Source organism: Homo sapiens, chromosome 6, assembly GCF_000001405.40.
Source record: "Homo sapiens chromosome 6, GRCh38.p14 Primary Assembly".
NCBI classification, from domain to species: domain Eukaryota; kingdom Metazoa; phylum Chordata; class Mammalia; order Primates; family Hominidae; genus Homo; species Homo sapiens.
Genome location: NC_000006.12, coordinates 12,985,053 through 13,002,403, shown reverse-complemented (window position 1 = coordinate 13,002,403; position 17,351 = coordinate 12,985,053). Strand labels below are relative to the sequence as shown.

At 38.9% G+C, this 17,351-nt stretch overlaps 1 protein-coding gene across 16 annotated transcripts in view; it reads right to left on the bottom strand.

The window, feature by feature from the left end:
• PHACTR1 (phosphatase and actin regulator 1) overlaps positions 1 to 17,351 on the bottom strand; it is a 571,071-nt gene that overhangs the window by 285,434 nt on the left and 268,286 nt on the right. The gene's annotated exons all lie outside the window — the stretch shown is intronic.

Genomic DNA, 17,351 nt, shown 5'->3' with positions numbered 1-17,351 from the left:
TAGGTAATTCCATGCAGAGTACTGAAATAAAAAAAATAGAGCTGAGACATTTTCCTGTGAATAAATATTTGTAACTGCTAACCAAAAAAAAGTGGACATGTATATAATGCTTTATAGTATATATTGACATTTTGCCAGGCCGTGAAAGAAATAGGATAGCTGAGCTAATAGAGCAGGCATTTTTGCCTTTACCTGAGACAGAGTGTTGTTTGCTGAAACAAATGAGCAATGTGCCACTGTGCTCTCCAAAATGATCTTAGCTCAAACTTTATAAAAGAGGGAAAAGACAGGTGACTCATGAAGGAAGGGCTCATTCCTTGTAAATGCATAGTTCAGTGTTAATTGTAAATACCAGCATATGCTTGGTAACATAAAGAGACTGCTGAGAACTGTTTAGAGCACCAAGTATTGCGGGGAGGAATGAACGAGTCAACAAAATCTTCACAGTTCAAATCCAAATCAATTTGAATCCAGGTTGATACTACTATCCATATTGCTACCCGCAGTAATCACTTGTCAGTCACCCAGACTGAAACTTCCAGTGATGACAGCCTTAGAAATTAGTGAAATTCCTCATGGATATTCTGTTAAAATCTACCTATCACTCAAGCATGATCAGGAGGATTAGGAAACACAAAGCTTTCACACCAAAGTGAGAAGGAGGAGAGAAGACCAGAAACAAGACAGTGCTTCCCCAAAGTGGGGGGCACACTATTTATTGGATGTCACTTTCTAGGCTGTCAGGTTTCTGTTGAGAGGTGGCACTGAATCAAGAAAAGGGAGAGATTGACCTTTTCTGGGAGAAACTGAATTTCAGAATGCTACAGAGAAGCCTTGAGAAAGACTTCTGGGCTGTTGCAGGTCATGGTGGGGAGAGGACAATGAAAAAACTAGAGTTGGAATCTGTAGTCATATGCTCAATGTCAAGTCCAGCCCCAAACCATTTGCACTGTCCTCGTGTGAAAACCATCCTCCTTTCAAGGTCACCCTTTCTTCTCTGCACTTGAACCCTCTGCACTATCTTTTGGTCACTTCCTCCGAATACAGTGCCAAGACTTATTAATTTTTCTTCCCAATTTTTCTCTTATTTATGATGAAAAAATACTCGAAAGCTGAGAGTGGGATGAGATGGCATCCTCATTTCATTCTTTAGAAAATGAATTAAAGTAACAACCTCTTTCATTATTGATTTTCACAACTAAAAATCCATCAACATCATTTGTAATTTATTAAACACCTGTCTTTATTTATCACAACATTACTTGCATGACATTTTCTACCAATGGAACCACTTCTGACACAGTCTATCCCCTGATTCCATCATAAACCTTTCCTAGGAATCAATGATTCCAGAAAGCCAACTAAGTTAGCTTTGATTACAAAGACAAAACCTTTCAGAGGGGTTAATCCTCAAAGTGATCAATACATTCTTCGGTTGCCAAAATGAGGGCATTGGACTAGCAGAAGATTGCTAAGGCCTTTCCAAAAATGTAATTCTTTGACTCTAATAGATGCTAAATTGCAACTGGAAGATTATCTTGGGGAAGAAAGAAACATAAATAACCTTGTTGGAAGAGGAAAAATGACACTCTAGATTGAAGTGAGAGCTTGCTGTGAGCATTTACCTTTCTAAGGTAACAAATGGTGACCTGCAGCCAAGACAGGCTTAATCTTCCTCTATAGCTGCATCTTCCACCACCTTTGTTTTTCTCTCCTTCCTTCCTTCCTTCCTTCCTTCCTTCCCCTTCCTCCCTCCCTCCCCCCTTCCTTCCTTCCTTCCTTCCTTCCTCCCTTCCCTCCTTCCCTCTCTTCTCTTTCTCCCCCTCCCACTCTCTCTTTGTCTCTCTCTCCCCTACTCTTTTTTTGGAGACTCTGTCGCTGAGGCTGGAGTGCAGTGGTGCAATCATGTCTCACTGCAGCCTGGACCTCCTGAGCTCGAGAGATCCTCTCACCTCAGCCTCCTGTGTAGCTGGGACCACAGATGTGCACCACCACACCTAGCTAAGTTTTAAATTTTTTATAGAGACGGGGTCTCACGATGTTGCCCAGGCTAGTCTTGAACTCCTGGGCTCAAGGGATCCTCTGGCCTTGGCCTCCCAAAGTGCTGGGATTCCAGGTGTGAGCCACAGCACAGGGTCATCCGGCAACTTTGGTACCTGCCACCGCTTCAAGCTTAGCTGCTCCAGATGACTTACAGTTCCTCAACAACACCATGCCTTGTCGTGGATTCCCACATGCCCTTTCTTCATATCTTTCTGGAGCCTCTTTCTTGTTCTTCTGATCATAGCAGTGAGGGTGCCATTTTGGAAGACACCTGCAGTACACCCTGACCAACAGAGTTCCCTGCTCAGTCCTTTGTGCCACCTTGGAACTTACTGCTAACTGAACATTTATTGTAACATCCTGTAAGTATTTAAGTTTTTCTTCATGAAATATTTCAAATACAAGACAAAAAATGATGAATATAATACTTTCCACCTGGGCATTATTTAGGTTTAGAAATGTTAACATGGAGTCCTAGCTGCTTTAGTGTTTCAAAAATAATGTAAAGGAATACAAATTACAGATATAGCCAAACATCACGGATGCTCCCTTTTCCCACACCTTTTCCTGGAGGCGACTACTACCCCGAAGTTAATGTTTGTGTGTCCTGTTGAACTTTTACCATATAGGTATGCATTTGCGAGCATTAATATAAAATATTGCTTTATAGGCTTCCAATGTCCATACTTGGTATCACACTTTAAGAATCATTTGTAACATTCTATATTTAATGCAACACTATGTTTTTGTTTTTTCTTTTCTGAGACAGAGTCTCACTCTGTCACCCAGGCTGGAGTGCAGTGGCGCCGTCTCAGCTCTCTGCAACCTCCGCCTCCTGGATTCAAAAAATTCTCTGTCTCAGCCTCCTGAGTAGCTGGAATTACAGGGGCCTGCCACCACGCCCGGCTAATTTTTGTATTTTGTTAGTAGAGACAGGGTTTCACCATCTTGGCCAGGCTGGTCTTGAACTCCTGATCTCGTGATCCACCCACCCTGGCCTCCCAAAGTGCTGGGATTACAGGCGTGAGCCACCATGCCCGGCCTCAACGTATTTTAAGATTATTGCATGTTGGTTCATGTAAACCTAGTTCATTCATATTTCCTGTTGCATTAGTATTCCAATAGATGATTCTATCACAAGATTCTTCAACCCTTACAGAGGGTTATTTAGTTGGTATGTAAATTTTTGTCAATGACAATCCTCCAGTGAGCATCCTAATCAATTCTCTTTTGTACCCTTGTGCAAAGGTTTCTCTAAAGAATATAAGTAGAACTGCTGTGTCATGGGGTACGTGCAACTTTAGCTTAACTAGATATTGACAGATAGCTCTTAAAGTGATCGTTAACAATTACCCTCTCATCAACAGTGTATGAAAGTTTCTCTTTCCACTTCATCATTACTTGGTACTACCATTATTTCATTTGGGTTTTCAGAATGCTGGGTTATTTAATTGCTATATCTTGATTACCTTTTAGGTATTCAGGTTTCTGTGTCTACAAATTACTTGCTCATATTTTGTCCACTTGTTTATTGATTTTTTTTTCTCATTGATTTATATAGACTCTTTTTTCTTCTAGTATAACCATTGTTTTTGGCTTTATGTGTAGTACCAGTCTTTCAGTCATAATTTTGTTTGTGAGTCCTTTGTCATATAAAGATTTTTTTAAATTTAAACTTACCAATTGTTGACTTGATGTTTTGCGCTGCCTTGGGACTTTTACTTTTTCTTTTCTTTTTTTTTTTTTTGACCAGGTCTTGCTGTGTCGCCCAGGCCAGAGTGCAGTGGCAATATCATAGCTCATAGCAGCCCTGAACTCCAGGGTTCAGACAACCTCTTGCCTCAGCCTCTTGAGTAAGTGGGGACCAGAGGTGTGCACCACCATGCCTGGCTAATTTTTCTTTAAGTAGACATGAGATCTCACTATGTTGTCCAGGCTGGTCTCTAAATCCCTGAGCTCAAGGGATTCTTCTGCCTCAGCCTCCCAAAGTGCTGAGATTACAGGCATGAGCCACTGTGCCTAGCCTATTTTTGGACTTTTAAATAAATTCTTTTCTATGATGAGGTTATGCAATCTTCACCTATATTCTCTTTTTAAAGTTTCAAGGCTTTGCTTTACATATTTAGGTTGTTAATCCATCTGGAATTTGTTTTTATATATGATGTGAGCCAGGAAGCCAATTTATTTTTTACAATATGGAGAATAATTTTTTTCCTGAGTACTGCATATTGCGCAGTTGATTTTTCCTATACTGATTTATAAAGCTACTTTCGTGATGTACCAGTGGACTGAGTTATATTGAATATTTTAAATATATTTTTATGTATAAGTCCTGACGTTCTTTGCACACTAGGGTAACTGTAGTTAATAATAATGTGTTGTATATTTATTTTTTTTGTTTTTTCTTTGAGACGGAGTCTGGCTCTGTCGCCCAGGCTGGAGTGCAGTGGCGTGATCTCGGCTCACTGCAAGCTCTGCCTCCCGGGTTCACACCATTCTCCTGCCTCAGCCTCCTGAGTAGCTGGGACTACAGGCGCCCGCCACCGTGCCCGGCTAATTTTGCTATTTTTAGTAGAGACGGGGTTTCACCTTATTAGCCAGGATGGTCTCCATCTCGTGACCTTGTGATCCGCCCACCTCGGCCTCTCAAAGTGCTGAGATTACAGGCGTGAGCCACCGTTCCTGGCCAATGTGTTGTATATTTCAAAATAGCTAGAAGAGAGGATTTTGAATATTCTCGCCACAAAAAATGATAAATGTTTGAGGTGATGGATATGCTAACTATCCTGATTTAATCATCACGCAATGTATAAATGTTTTGAAATATCTCATTTGTACCCCATAAATATATGCTGTGATCATGTGTCAATTAAAAATAGAATAAAACTAGAAAAAATGGCAGGCAGAAGAATAAAAAGACTCTCTCCTCCCCATCCCCCATATATTTATCTATATATAAATATATACAATATATATTTGCTTTAAATATATATTTACTTATATATAATATAGATTTACTTATATATATAAAATATATTTACTTATACATAAATATATAATATACATTCACTTATATAGAGATTTACTATATACTAATATATATTTACTTATATATAAATATATATTTATTATGTAATAAATCATATATACATGTATTATAAGTTTATAATACATTTATAATTTTTCTTTTTTTGAGATGGAATTTCGCTCTTGCTGCCCAGGCTAGAGTGCAATGGCGGGTGATCTCAGCCCACTGCAACTCCCACCTCCCAGGTTCAAGCGATTCTCCTGCCTCAGCCTCCCGAGTAGCTGGGATTACAGGCATGCGCCAACACGCGTGGCTAATTTTGTGCTTTTGGTAGAGATGAGGTTTCTCCATGTTGGTCAGGCTGGTCTCAAACTCCTGACCTCAGGTGATCTGCCTGCCTTGGCCTCCCAAGGTGCTGGGATTACAGGGGTGAGCCATCGCACCCGGCCATACATTTATAAATTTTAAAAAGTTATCAAATAGTTTGCTGGCTTGGGTTAAAATATTATATTTAGAATTTCTGCATTTAATTTACGTTCATAAATTAGATTGATCTGTATGTTTTCTCTCTTATATGGTCCTTCTCCAGTTTTTAGATCAAGGGTTGTATCACTCTAATAAAAAGATTTGTTGAACATTCCTTCTCTTTCTATTGTCTTGAAAAGTTTATATAAAATAGAGGTCACATATTTAGTCTCTGGAATAGCTTAAATAAGTTAAGAGTAACCCTTCTTAAATGTTTATTAAAACTCATCAGCCTAATTGATTTTTACTATAGATCTGATTTCTTCAGTGATTGTAGTGATTTATTTTCTAGTGCTTCTTCAGTCAATATTGGTAGTTTATAGTTTATCTAGAAAATTTTCCATTTTATTTAAGTGTTCCAATTTACTTGCATGAAGTTGATCATAATATTTCCTTCAGTTATTTTAAAATTATCTGTTAACTGTGTCCTTCTAATAGTCTGTTTGTGCCTTCTTTTGTTTTGTTTTTGATGCCTCTTGCCAGAGATTTGCCTATTTTATTAACATTTTCAAAACAAGAAAGTTTTTGTTTTCTTTGATTTTTGAGTGTCCATTGTATCTTGGATTTTCTTTCCATGAATTTCACCTCTTATTTCTATAATTTCTTTTTTCAGTCTTTGGGATAGTGCTGCTGTATCTTTTCATATTTATTGAGTTGACGGCATGGCTAATTCACTTTAAATATTATCTATTTCCTAACACATACATGCAAGGCTACACATTTCCCTCAAAGTACTATTTGCAAATCTCATGTATTTTGTAAGTAGTTTTAAATTATTGTTCAGTTCAAAATATTTCATATTTAGAAATGATTTACTTTTGATGTACGAATTTCTTAGGTATTTATTTAATTCCAAACATATGTTTTAAGCAATATCTTTGACACATATATAGCTTTATTGCATTTTAGAGAAAATACTTTGTATATTAATAGTTTGAGTTGTTCAAATCTCCAATAAAATTACTAAGTTAACTAATGTATAAGTTACTGTGAAAAAATGTGTCTTAAAAAAATTCATTTATAATTTTGGATTAGTTTTCCCTCGTAATTTTAATCATTTATGCATTTCATATTTGGAGACTATTTTGTTAAATTTTTACATCTTCCTATGAAATATTCCCTTTATCATTATTAAGGAAATCATTAAGTATTAATCATTTACCATTAAGTATTAATACATAATTATTTATCTATAATCATTTACCACTAAGTATTAATGGATACGTAATTAAGTATTAACGAGTACCATTAAGTAACAATTTTCCTTATCTTTAATAATGTTGTTAGCTTTAAAATCTATTTTATTTAATAGTAATATTGGTATGCTAGTTTGGTTTACTTTCGGTTAATATTTGCCTATTGTTTCATTGGTGCATCATGTTTTTTTTCTACTTTGAGCAGAGAAGTTTAATCTATTTATAGTTGTTGTGACTCATTTGTTTCATATTATTTTGGTTTTCTATTTGTCTTTGCACCTCTTGATCTCTGACTGATGGGGTTCTATTCTTTCTTTTCCTTTCCTCTAATTTGGAAGTTATATATTTTGTTTCTGTTTTTTTTTTTTAATAGTTGTCATTACAACTTTAACATATTCTTATGTTTCTGGCCAGTATATCCTGAACAAGCCCAGAATGCTGAAATCCGATCACCCCTCTCTGTTACTTAGGTTTGCTTTCAGTTCTACCTTGTCTGTAATCCCACCCCTTTAGAAAACATTCCATCATTGTTTCATGTTGTTTTACTTTTACAAACATATTTATCAACTTCACATCTGCCTCTTCAATCTCACTCCTTCCTTCTTGGTTCAATTTTCTTCTTTCTGAATGGCAGGCGATTCCTTTGTTCAGTGAGGGTCTATGATTAACAAACTCAGACCCTGAGTTTACTAGCATGAATCTTTATATATTTTAATTATCATTATCTAATAAACATATGTAAGTAGTTAAAAATTTAAATAGTGCTAAAAGTAGTAGTCTCCTGTTCCTCACTTCCCCAGACATAACAATTTCCAACTGTTTTTTCTTCCTGAGCTATTCCGTATGGTATTTAACTCCAAGTTTCTAAATAGTATGCTTATAATACTCTCTTAATTCATTAATTTACAATACTATTAACTGTATATTATAGTAGCAGACTGAGCGCTCTTAAGCCTTCCCATTCCCCTTTTCCTCCTCCATTTGTATATCATATTTTGTAAAATATTCAAATTTTACATATTTCAATTTTGTTAAAAATGGTTCTTTGGAATTCTATGATTACACTTCCTAGTTTAAACAACTTTTCATTTTTCCTGGAGTTAGTAATCACTTAATTTTTTTCCTGAGTCTTCTTTGAACTGATCTCTAATTTTTTCCACACCCTTCAATAGCTTCTCAGTATAACACCCCAGTCAGCCAAATATTTCAGACAGGGTGCCTCATTTTGGAGCTATGATTATGTGCCTAAATCCAGATGCTTTTGGATTTAACTTCTCCAAGGGGGGGAAAAATCCCACCTCTTGAGGGAGTGACAGAGAAGTTGCTTTACACTATCCCCTTTTACTATCTTTTGTGTCACCTAATATATCATATTTTTCATCTCAGTTCTCAGGGCTTCATTCTGGCTGATTTTCTTTGATCTTCCAGTTTATTAATTCTATCTTTGGCTGTGTCCACTGTGCTATTTAATTAGTGTTTAATTTCAAAGACTATATTTTTCATTTCTAGTCTGTCTTTTTTTACTGTTGTTTTTCATAGTGGTTTCTTTTTCACTGTGGCTCCTATTTATTCTCTATTTCTTTTCTTATTGTAAGCATATGTATTTGATAGAAACCTTTATATTTATATCTTATTTCTAGTTCTTCATTTGTTGAATCTGCTGACTTTATTCTAGTCTATTTCTTCATGTGATCTGGAGATTTTTCATTGTGAGTTTATACTTAACAGGATGCTTTTCCACTCCTTACAGAGTGATTTTTTATTTGCTTCTATCAATATTCCAATGACTCTAATGGCCTGGAGAGGGGAAAATATGTTCGCTTTTAGCTCCAGGATTCCCAAATCCTCTGGGTACTAAAAATTTGGATCACATAGGCTTTCAGTTTCAATTTCTCATAGGGAATTTCCTGCCTCTACAGAGATCCCCTGGGCTTACAGCTCCTTCCTATTTTCCTGACCTTATAGGCAAAGTGATTGTTTTGTCTTTTTTCCCAATTTCCAGATTTATCTATGGGCAGGACTTCGAGGAGGCTTCCCTTAATCAGAGTCTTAGCTCTCGCCTGAAGCAAATGCAAGCCTGTCACATCTCTGCCCTTAAATTGAGAATTGAAACTCCAGCCCTCCGTGTCTTAGGTATGTATCCAGGTCAGACACCCCACAGTAAAGTCAGTTCAGTCTATTATGCTGCTGAAAGTTCTTCTGATTATTTCTTTACGTGTTTGTCTCTCTCAACTAATGAATGAGTATTTCAAAGGCAAGAACCAACTTATTAACCATTATTTCTCTCTGCTCTACTATCCCAACTCCTAGCAAAAAACCTGGCAGAGAGTAAACAAGAGCATGGCTAATACTGATAGAAGAGCTAGAAATAAATTATTTAGGTAGATAGTGAGGGTAAGAGAGTCCTCAGTAAGGTTTCCTTTTAGTAAAAAGCAGCCCCAAAATCATTTCTTTTCTAACAAAAAACGGCCTGAAAAATCAAGCTGCAAGCATAGATAAGCAAGCTAGAAGCTTACACAGGTGAATGCTGGCAGCTGTGCCAATATGAAAAGGCCACCTGGGGGCTAGGCATGTTCAACATGGAGGCTCTATCTTCCTTTTTCTTTGTCAACCATGTGTGCAGTAAAGAAGCAGGCAACATGGCGCCAGCCAGGTAAAGAACCCATTTGCATAATAAAAGATTAAGGTGGGGAGGCCAGCTTCTTCACGCACTATGTAAATGGCATACCTGGTCTGACCAATATTTTGTGCCCTATGTAAATCAGAAGCTGCCTTCTCAAGCTCGTCTATAAACCCCTGCCCCACCCCGGGCATTTCACCACAGAACCGGAAGACCCACTCGGGAGCCCCTCTCTCTCTGTAGGAGAGAGAGCTTTTTTCTTTTCTCTTTGTTTTGCCTATCAAACCTCTGCTCTTAAATGCATTCCTTGTGTGCATCTGCGTCCTCAATTTCCTTGGCATAAGGCAATGAAAAACAGCACCGCTTCAATATTTGGTAAATGAATGAATTTAATTTAGGTGAGTTTGACACCTACTAAAAAGTTCGGTACAACTTGTCACTTGCAACATGGTGTCCAAGACACAGATAAGAGATACGTCAGAGAATAAAGAGAATTAGATAGCAATAACTGGGAGATGTCTATGGAACCTGATTGTTCTGACCTCTTCTTCAACTGGTTTTCTTCCTCACTGTTTGAAATATTGTTTAAATTAAATAATTAACACTATATTAAGAGCCAAGAATAGCACTCAGAGGCTATATTTAGCTTCTGGCTACCTGGTTATGCCGTGCAGTGAAATGAGGCAAGAAGTTTTTGACAATTTAATTAACATCTTTCTAGATTTTCAATTTTTAAAATATGAAGCCCCATGAAGGGACTTCATTTTCAATTTATTTACAGTGTAAGAGGAGGAAACTCTGATTTCTCCTTCAACATTTATCACTGGGGATTTGGAGGGGATTGGAGAAGGGAGAAAGAAGGAAGAAAGGCCTTGTCTTCTATTAACCTAGAGCTCACCCTTCTCTGTAGCTTCCTTTAAGTCAGTGGTTTAACTTTGGGACGTGGTAAAATAACAATGTGTGTGTTGTCGGTGGATTTGGGGTGCTAGAAAATAGCAGATACTAATTAGGATTTTGAAAGACCTTTCATAAGGGTAAAAAAAAAAAAAGACACAGAAACATACTTATGTCAGTGCCATAATTGAGTAAGGCTGTGTATTCTGATTGGAAATTTGCAAGGCTTATTACATTGAATACTTGATATTTTCATTATTTGAGGTCTTGAGCAAGCTTTAAATAAAGTGTGTTTAGAAAGTACTGTGCACGTGATCTCCTCCTCCACAAACACAAAACCATTATAGTTTTATCTAATTAAACTACTTCCATTTCTTCCTCAGTGCCTACCATAAGAGTGCTGGCCTCTGTCAATAGTGGTCCTCATCATCCAGCTTATTTCTCCATATGGCAACAAAATGCTGATGAGGAAGTTTCAGTTCAGTTATAGTTATTTTTTTCTTAAGAAGAAAATGATGTAGGACAGGACTTTGTGAGGGAAGAACAAACCAAAAAGTAGAAGGGAATATTTTTAATGACATCAGAGAAACTGCATAAGACCACTTTTCTGTATTGCCGGCCTCTTTAGAAAGTATTCAGTTGGCAGGTAACGGAATGACCTGTTGTAATCACTGAACACTGACATATTGATCAGCTCTGTAAGGGGAAAATTTTCCAGTATGGGGCAGTCCTGTGGAGACACAAGCTAAACATGCCCATCTACTGCCCTGCAAACCAGGGCCACCCCTTGGGTGCCAGGGTCCTTGTCTATAGAAGCAATTTGTGTCACCCTGGGTCAGTGTGTTAGCAACCATCTCACCTGATTTATAAAAGAAATGGCATCCTGGTCAGCAGGGTAAACTGCTTGGCAGCCTACCCTCCTGGAACAAGGGACAGGTAATAGCGATATGGACAGGAGGCAGGGAAATACTGGGCAGAAGAGGGTGGTTCCCTGGCAAAAGCCCCACCCTCAAGCCTGGAAACTATGGCCCTAAATGAGAAAAGTTATCCCTGTTTTCCAGCCCAAATGTTGCCTTTTTGGCCTGCCTCGCCCTGCTATCCTGTGCCCATATAAACCCCAGACCCCAGCTGGCAAAGAGAAAAGTGGCTGAACACCAAGAGAAGAAGCAACAGAGCATTGGAGACTATAGATAGATGTGGCTTAACTTTAGATGGCATGACTTCAGAGAGGAGCCCGGTCGTCTCTGGGAAAGATCACCTTCATCCTACACCATCCCCTCTCCAGCTCCTGATTCTCTGAGAGCCACTTCCACTGCTTAATAAAATCCTCTGCATTCATCACCTTTCAAACAGTTCATGTGATCTGATTCTTCTGGATGCCAAACAAGAACTTGGGTATCAAAGGGGCAGGTGCAGAAGGCTGTCACCCTGACCTACCACTGAGCTGTCAACACTTAGCCATCCATAGACAGCAAATTGTATACATTTGCTAAATTTACAAAAACTAAAATTGTAGCTAAAACTGTAACACACCCGTAGAATGCTGCCATGGGGCTGGAGCCCAAAAGCGCTTGGCCCGGCCCTGGCACCCACTATCCTGTGTGCTCCCTCTTGTGAGGGTTTCAGCCTAGCAAGTTCGAGCGAGTGAAATTCATTCCTGTTGGTGTTGAAGTGGTCGGCTGGTCCCAGAGCTGGTGCACTCCAGTTCCTGCCCATGAAAAGGTCAAGGGTACTCTTCAGTCTCAACAGGGCCCAAGGCCAACCACAGGTGGGAGTGCCGAGCTCCTTGGGACATCTGATCAACTCTCAAGGCTGGGGGTGGGTGGAATGGTATTGGAAGGTTGAAGAGTATCCCAAAAAGAAGAAACGGGGTGTAAGGGTGGCACAGGTCTGGTCTGGGCCCAGGGCTCCTAGCTAAGACAATTACTGCTTTGCCATCCAGGCATCTCATAAGACCTTAGAAAACTGTTGGGAAAAGGGCTTGTGGGGTGCCTGTATAAACTGGCTATAAAAATATGGGACAATAAGTTGTGGAAAGCCACAAGAGTCCTCTGAGGAGGAAAGCCTCCTAATTGCCATCATGTTCCCATGCTCAGAGTGAGACCCGCTCTCTTACCTGTAAACACTGTGCTCAAGGAGAAAGACACTCCTTTAGAACACTGAAATGTGGACAGACGTATGGGCTCCTAGTTAAGCCTTCTCCCACTAGCTACTCTCCAATAAGTTAAAGATATGCTGTTTGAGCACAAAGGAGATTCATTTAAACCACCATTGCTATAGATTACGCCTATGACACATTGCCTCCCTTTCACTGTTTCGTCCTGAACATCTGCTTCTTTGATCTAAGTGACTGTACTCAATAAATACTGTGGAGACCAAAACTCTGGGCCTTTCGCAGCCTCCATTTTGCAACTGGCCCCCTGGCTCCCACCTTTATAAACTCTTAACTTGTCTCTTCTCAATCCTTTGTCACCACCGGACTTTGGATATCCTACAGGCAGTGTTGAGACTGGTCCTCAACAGAAAACATTAAGAGAAAGTCACCAATATGGGAGTTGCAGGGGTGAGGTGCTTCTGGCCTGGGTCAGAAACTCTGAAGTTGCATTGGAATGAGCAACAAACCCAACATCTATCTTGCTGGCCTCCCAGACTATATGTTGGTATAACCTGCAACTCAGATAGCACCTCCTGATGATAACTTTCTTGACTACCCAAAGTTATTCATTCTACCCTCAGTGACCCTGAAGCATTTTCTTCATGCCTCACCTCTCACTTGGCTTTGTGAATATATGTTTATATCTCTATCTCCCCCTGTAGACTTTGAGACTCTGTGGAAAGCAATTATATCTTCTTTATATTTGTGCCTTTAGTTCCTGGACACATGAATAGCAGTGATGTTTGGAAAATTAGTGAATAGATGGCTTGCCCACCTGAAAGTCACCTTTTGTATTAGTATTTCACAGGCAGATTACTAATTACCATGTATAGGATTCAACGTTATAAGATAGGCATTATGATGCCAGGGTAAATATTCATCTTGAGTGGTTAATACAGTAATTTCCTTCTTGAATCTTTGTTGCAGCAACAGGCGGAGTGAGACACACATTGTTCTAGGAGATCTGTATTCCTTGGAGGACTCTGCCAAGTTCAAAAATGTATAGGAGCTTTACCTTCTAGTCACACTGACGGTACCTTGCACCTAAATCCTGCTTTCACACCTATTATCTGTTTGATCCTCTCAAAACTCCTGTGAGATGAGTAGGCTCTTACTGTGATCACCATTTTACAGCAGGAGGCAGCAAGGCGGACTGGTTAAGTGATGCATCTCTGGTTCTACATATAAGGGTGGTGCTGAAATTCGAACATGACTGTCTTGGCCAACCAGTGTTTTTCCCACTATCTATTCACCACCATGATGCTGGTCAAATTGCTTAACCTCTCAGCTTCAGGTTTCTTATCTGAAAAGAGGAATAATATGCTCTACACACTGGGGAGGTAAGATCAAGGAATTTAAAAGATGCTTAGGTACTTTGCGAACATTATACTTTTGCATCTTGGTGGTTTTCCATGATTGCCTGATGGACATATCTTCATTCATAATGCATCACCTCTATTAGCATCGCTGATAACTTTGTAGCCAAGGATCAAAGGGGAGCCTCCGCTTCAATACTTCATTATGAATATTTAGCATGGCATCCAGACAGTTTTCACACACTTCTGCTACCTACCCATGGTAATTGGTGATCAGTGTGATGTGGCTTCGTGCCACATAACACTTTGAGATGATTTCTAGGTCAGCTCCAGCAATCAGTCTGGATGAAGACTATTTAACTTGTAATTGCTTATGACAATTCTTCCATCTTTTAAAAAGCTCTGACGGAAATGGTACTCTTATTCCTCTATGTCTTTTACCTGCCAATATGTACTGCAAATGGACCCTAAGGCATTCAATTTCCAATATTAATTCACATTGATGACCTTAGTTGGCTGCCACATGACATGTTTAAGATTAGAGTTGAAGGCCCACCCCTGTGATCAGCTAAGTTGACTGTTCCCACAGCCACAGGCTAGCCAACCCCCTTAGAAATGTGCACCAGTGGCTGCCAAGGGGCCCCAGCAGGAGAGTGTAAGTGGTTAGTCCCATCTAGCACAAGTGCTGGAAAATTCACAACATCCATGCAGTCATAGTGGGGACTGGTGTTGCCATTTTCATGTGAGTGAGATTCTCTGGCAATTTATAGTTATCATCAGGACTTTAGAATTCTGCTCTACAGTAGAAACACCATTAACCCTTCCATCTTATTCTAGCAAATCTTCGCCCTTCTAAATTTTTAAATTTTAAAATGGGTTACCTCTGCCGCTCTATTCCTACTTCTTCCACTATCAGCACCCCACATACAGACAAGTGCCTCTCCTGCTGCATCTGCCTAAACACTGCTGCTGAATGAGCTTTATTTGCTCAAGAACTATTTTTATCCCATCATTCTGCTTGAAGATCTCCACTGGCTTACACAATCAAGCCCAAAGCCATCCTTTTGGAACTAGAAGCTGCCTTAATCTCTCATGGTTTCACCTGTGCATCCCCAGCTCTCATTATTTCCAAACAGAAACATTTGTCTTCAGCACTTTGCTTTTGCTCATGCTTTGTTTCAGCTAAAATGCTTCTCCTTCTACCTAACTATTACAAATTGTTCCAAGTTGAGCTCTCATCTCATGTCTTTCTACAAAGCCTTTCATTAATGTTCTGGTCCGCAATGCTATTTTCTTCTCTGACTTGTTACATATGTTGATGTAACATATTTTGGAGCTGAATCAAATACTCTTTTGAGCTGTTCTCTAAGTGTTTTTCAATGGATAATGTCATTCTGCTGTAAAAAGGCCTTTCTTATCTCTCACTCACCTGCAGAATAAAATAAAAATCCTTAATATTCTGTATCTTTCTAAACCTAGTCATAATAGATTATTGGCTATAATCATAATCATCCATATTACATTTCTTTTAAAATCATATACACTTATATGTGTATACATATATAGATGTGTGGATATATATATTCCAATTGTGAATACAGTACATTCCTATTGTAAAAAATGCACAGATGACAGTCTTATATAAAGTAGGAAAAATCATTTACAAATCAACCACTCTGAGGTAGCCCCTATTAGCATCTTGACAGGTGTCTTTCAGGTGCATTTCTTAGCAAACCATAGGCTTTCACTTCTCTAAACCTTTGCTTACCTTGTTCTCTCTGAACTATGTTGCCCTTCTGAGTCCTCTCTGATAAGCATACTGATGGATCAAGGACTGCTCAAATACCGCCTCCCCTTCAAAGCTCTCCATACACCCGTCCTCACAAGTAAGATGGATCCTCCTCCCCACCAATCTTCCGTAGGTGTCTTCTATGCTGGCATCATGGGGTCTGGCATGCATATGCACATCTATCTGGCATGCACACATATCTGTCGCCCAAACGAGACTGGAAGCTCTCTGATGGCAAAACGTGTTTTATCCATCCCTTTCTTTAGCATGCTGCCTAGCATAGAACTGGCATCAAACAAACACTGGGGGGAATAATGAACGCAAGAGCATTAGTATGGCTTCTCATCTAGTGAGCTAAAGACTGAAACCATACAGTAGTAGGCCCATAGCACTCCGTGAATTCTTGTCAGCTGTGTTTCTAGCACATCAGATCTTTTATGTTAGAACTATTGTCTATTTAGTAATGAAAGGTCTGAAAAGACTTTAGGCAATACTTTTTCAGCTCCACAATACACAACTATGTGTGTCACCGGTGCAAGGTCCTGGGATGCCCATGCAGACATCACCCAGATCAAGAAAACAAACTTTGCCAGCGTCACTGAAGCCCCCACTGATGCCTCATCCCAATCTCTACCCACCCCTGCTCCTGAAAGCTCAGGGCAAGTTGTTTCTAACATTATAGTTTAATTTAGCATGTTTTTAGCCCAGGCGCGGTGGCTCATGACTGTAATCCCAGCACTTTGAGAGACCGAGGCAGGTGGATCACCTGAGATCAGGAGTTTGAGACCAGCCTGGCTAACATGGTGAAATCCCCTCTCTACTAGAAATACAAAAATTAGCCGGGCATGGTGGCAGGTGCCTGTAATCCCAGCTACTTGGGAGGCCGAGACAGGAGAATCACTTGAACCTGGGAGACGGAGGTTGCAGTGGGCTGAGATAGTGCCATTGCACTCCAGCCTGGGCAACAAGAGTAAAACTCCATCTCAAAAAAAAAAAAAATTAGCATGTTTTTGAACTTAATATAAATTGAATTATACAATACGTGTTCTAGCTTCTTTCCCTTAATATTATGTTTATGGGATTCATCTACATAATTGTGATTTTGTTACTTCTATTTCTGTGAACTATACCATTGCATAATTACACCATAATTAATTTATCCATTCTATTCTTAATGGACATTGAGTTGTTTCTAGGTTTTGGCCTTTATAAAAAATACTATTAACTTTCATATTCGTGTTTGTGTAAGTGTGTGTATGACTCTCTCTCTCTGTGTATATATATATATATATATATTTTTTTTTTTTTTAATTTGTAGTACTTTACAAACTTCTGATGATGTAGTATGGTCAATATAAACAGTAGCCACATTTAAATACATTAAAGTACAAAAGAATTTGGTTTTTCATCGGGAAGAAAATTACAGGAGGTACTTACTGGTATACAGGAGATCCAACTGCATCTACCTTCAATCAATTTTAAACCTATGCCTGCTATTTGAGCCCATGCAAAATCTAGTCTCTACAGGTTAATTTCTCAATTGGAGTAAGACCTTAGGCTTAATTTTTCCTATGGTTCGAGAAAATTGAACCATAGAAAATTTGGATTATTGAGATAATTTATGGAGATGAGGTGTGAAATAGAGAAATTATAAACAGTACTTTTCAAAGTGCATCTTAAAGTATCAACTTAGAATGTTGATGATGCCTATGAACCTCATATTCTATTAATAAAAAATAAATTTTAGTTGGTTTCAGTTGGATGAAATTGTATCTATATATACTA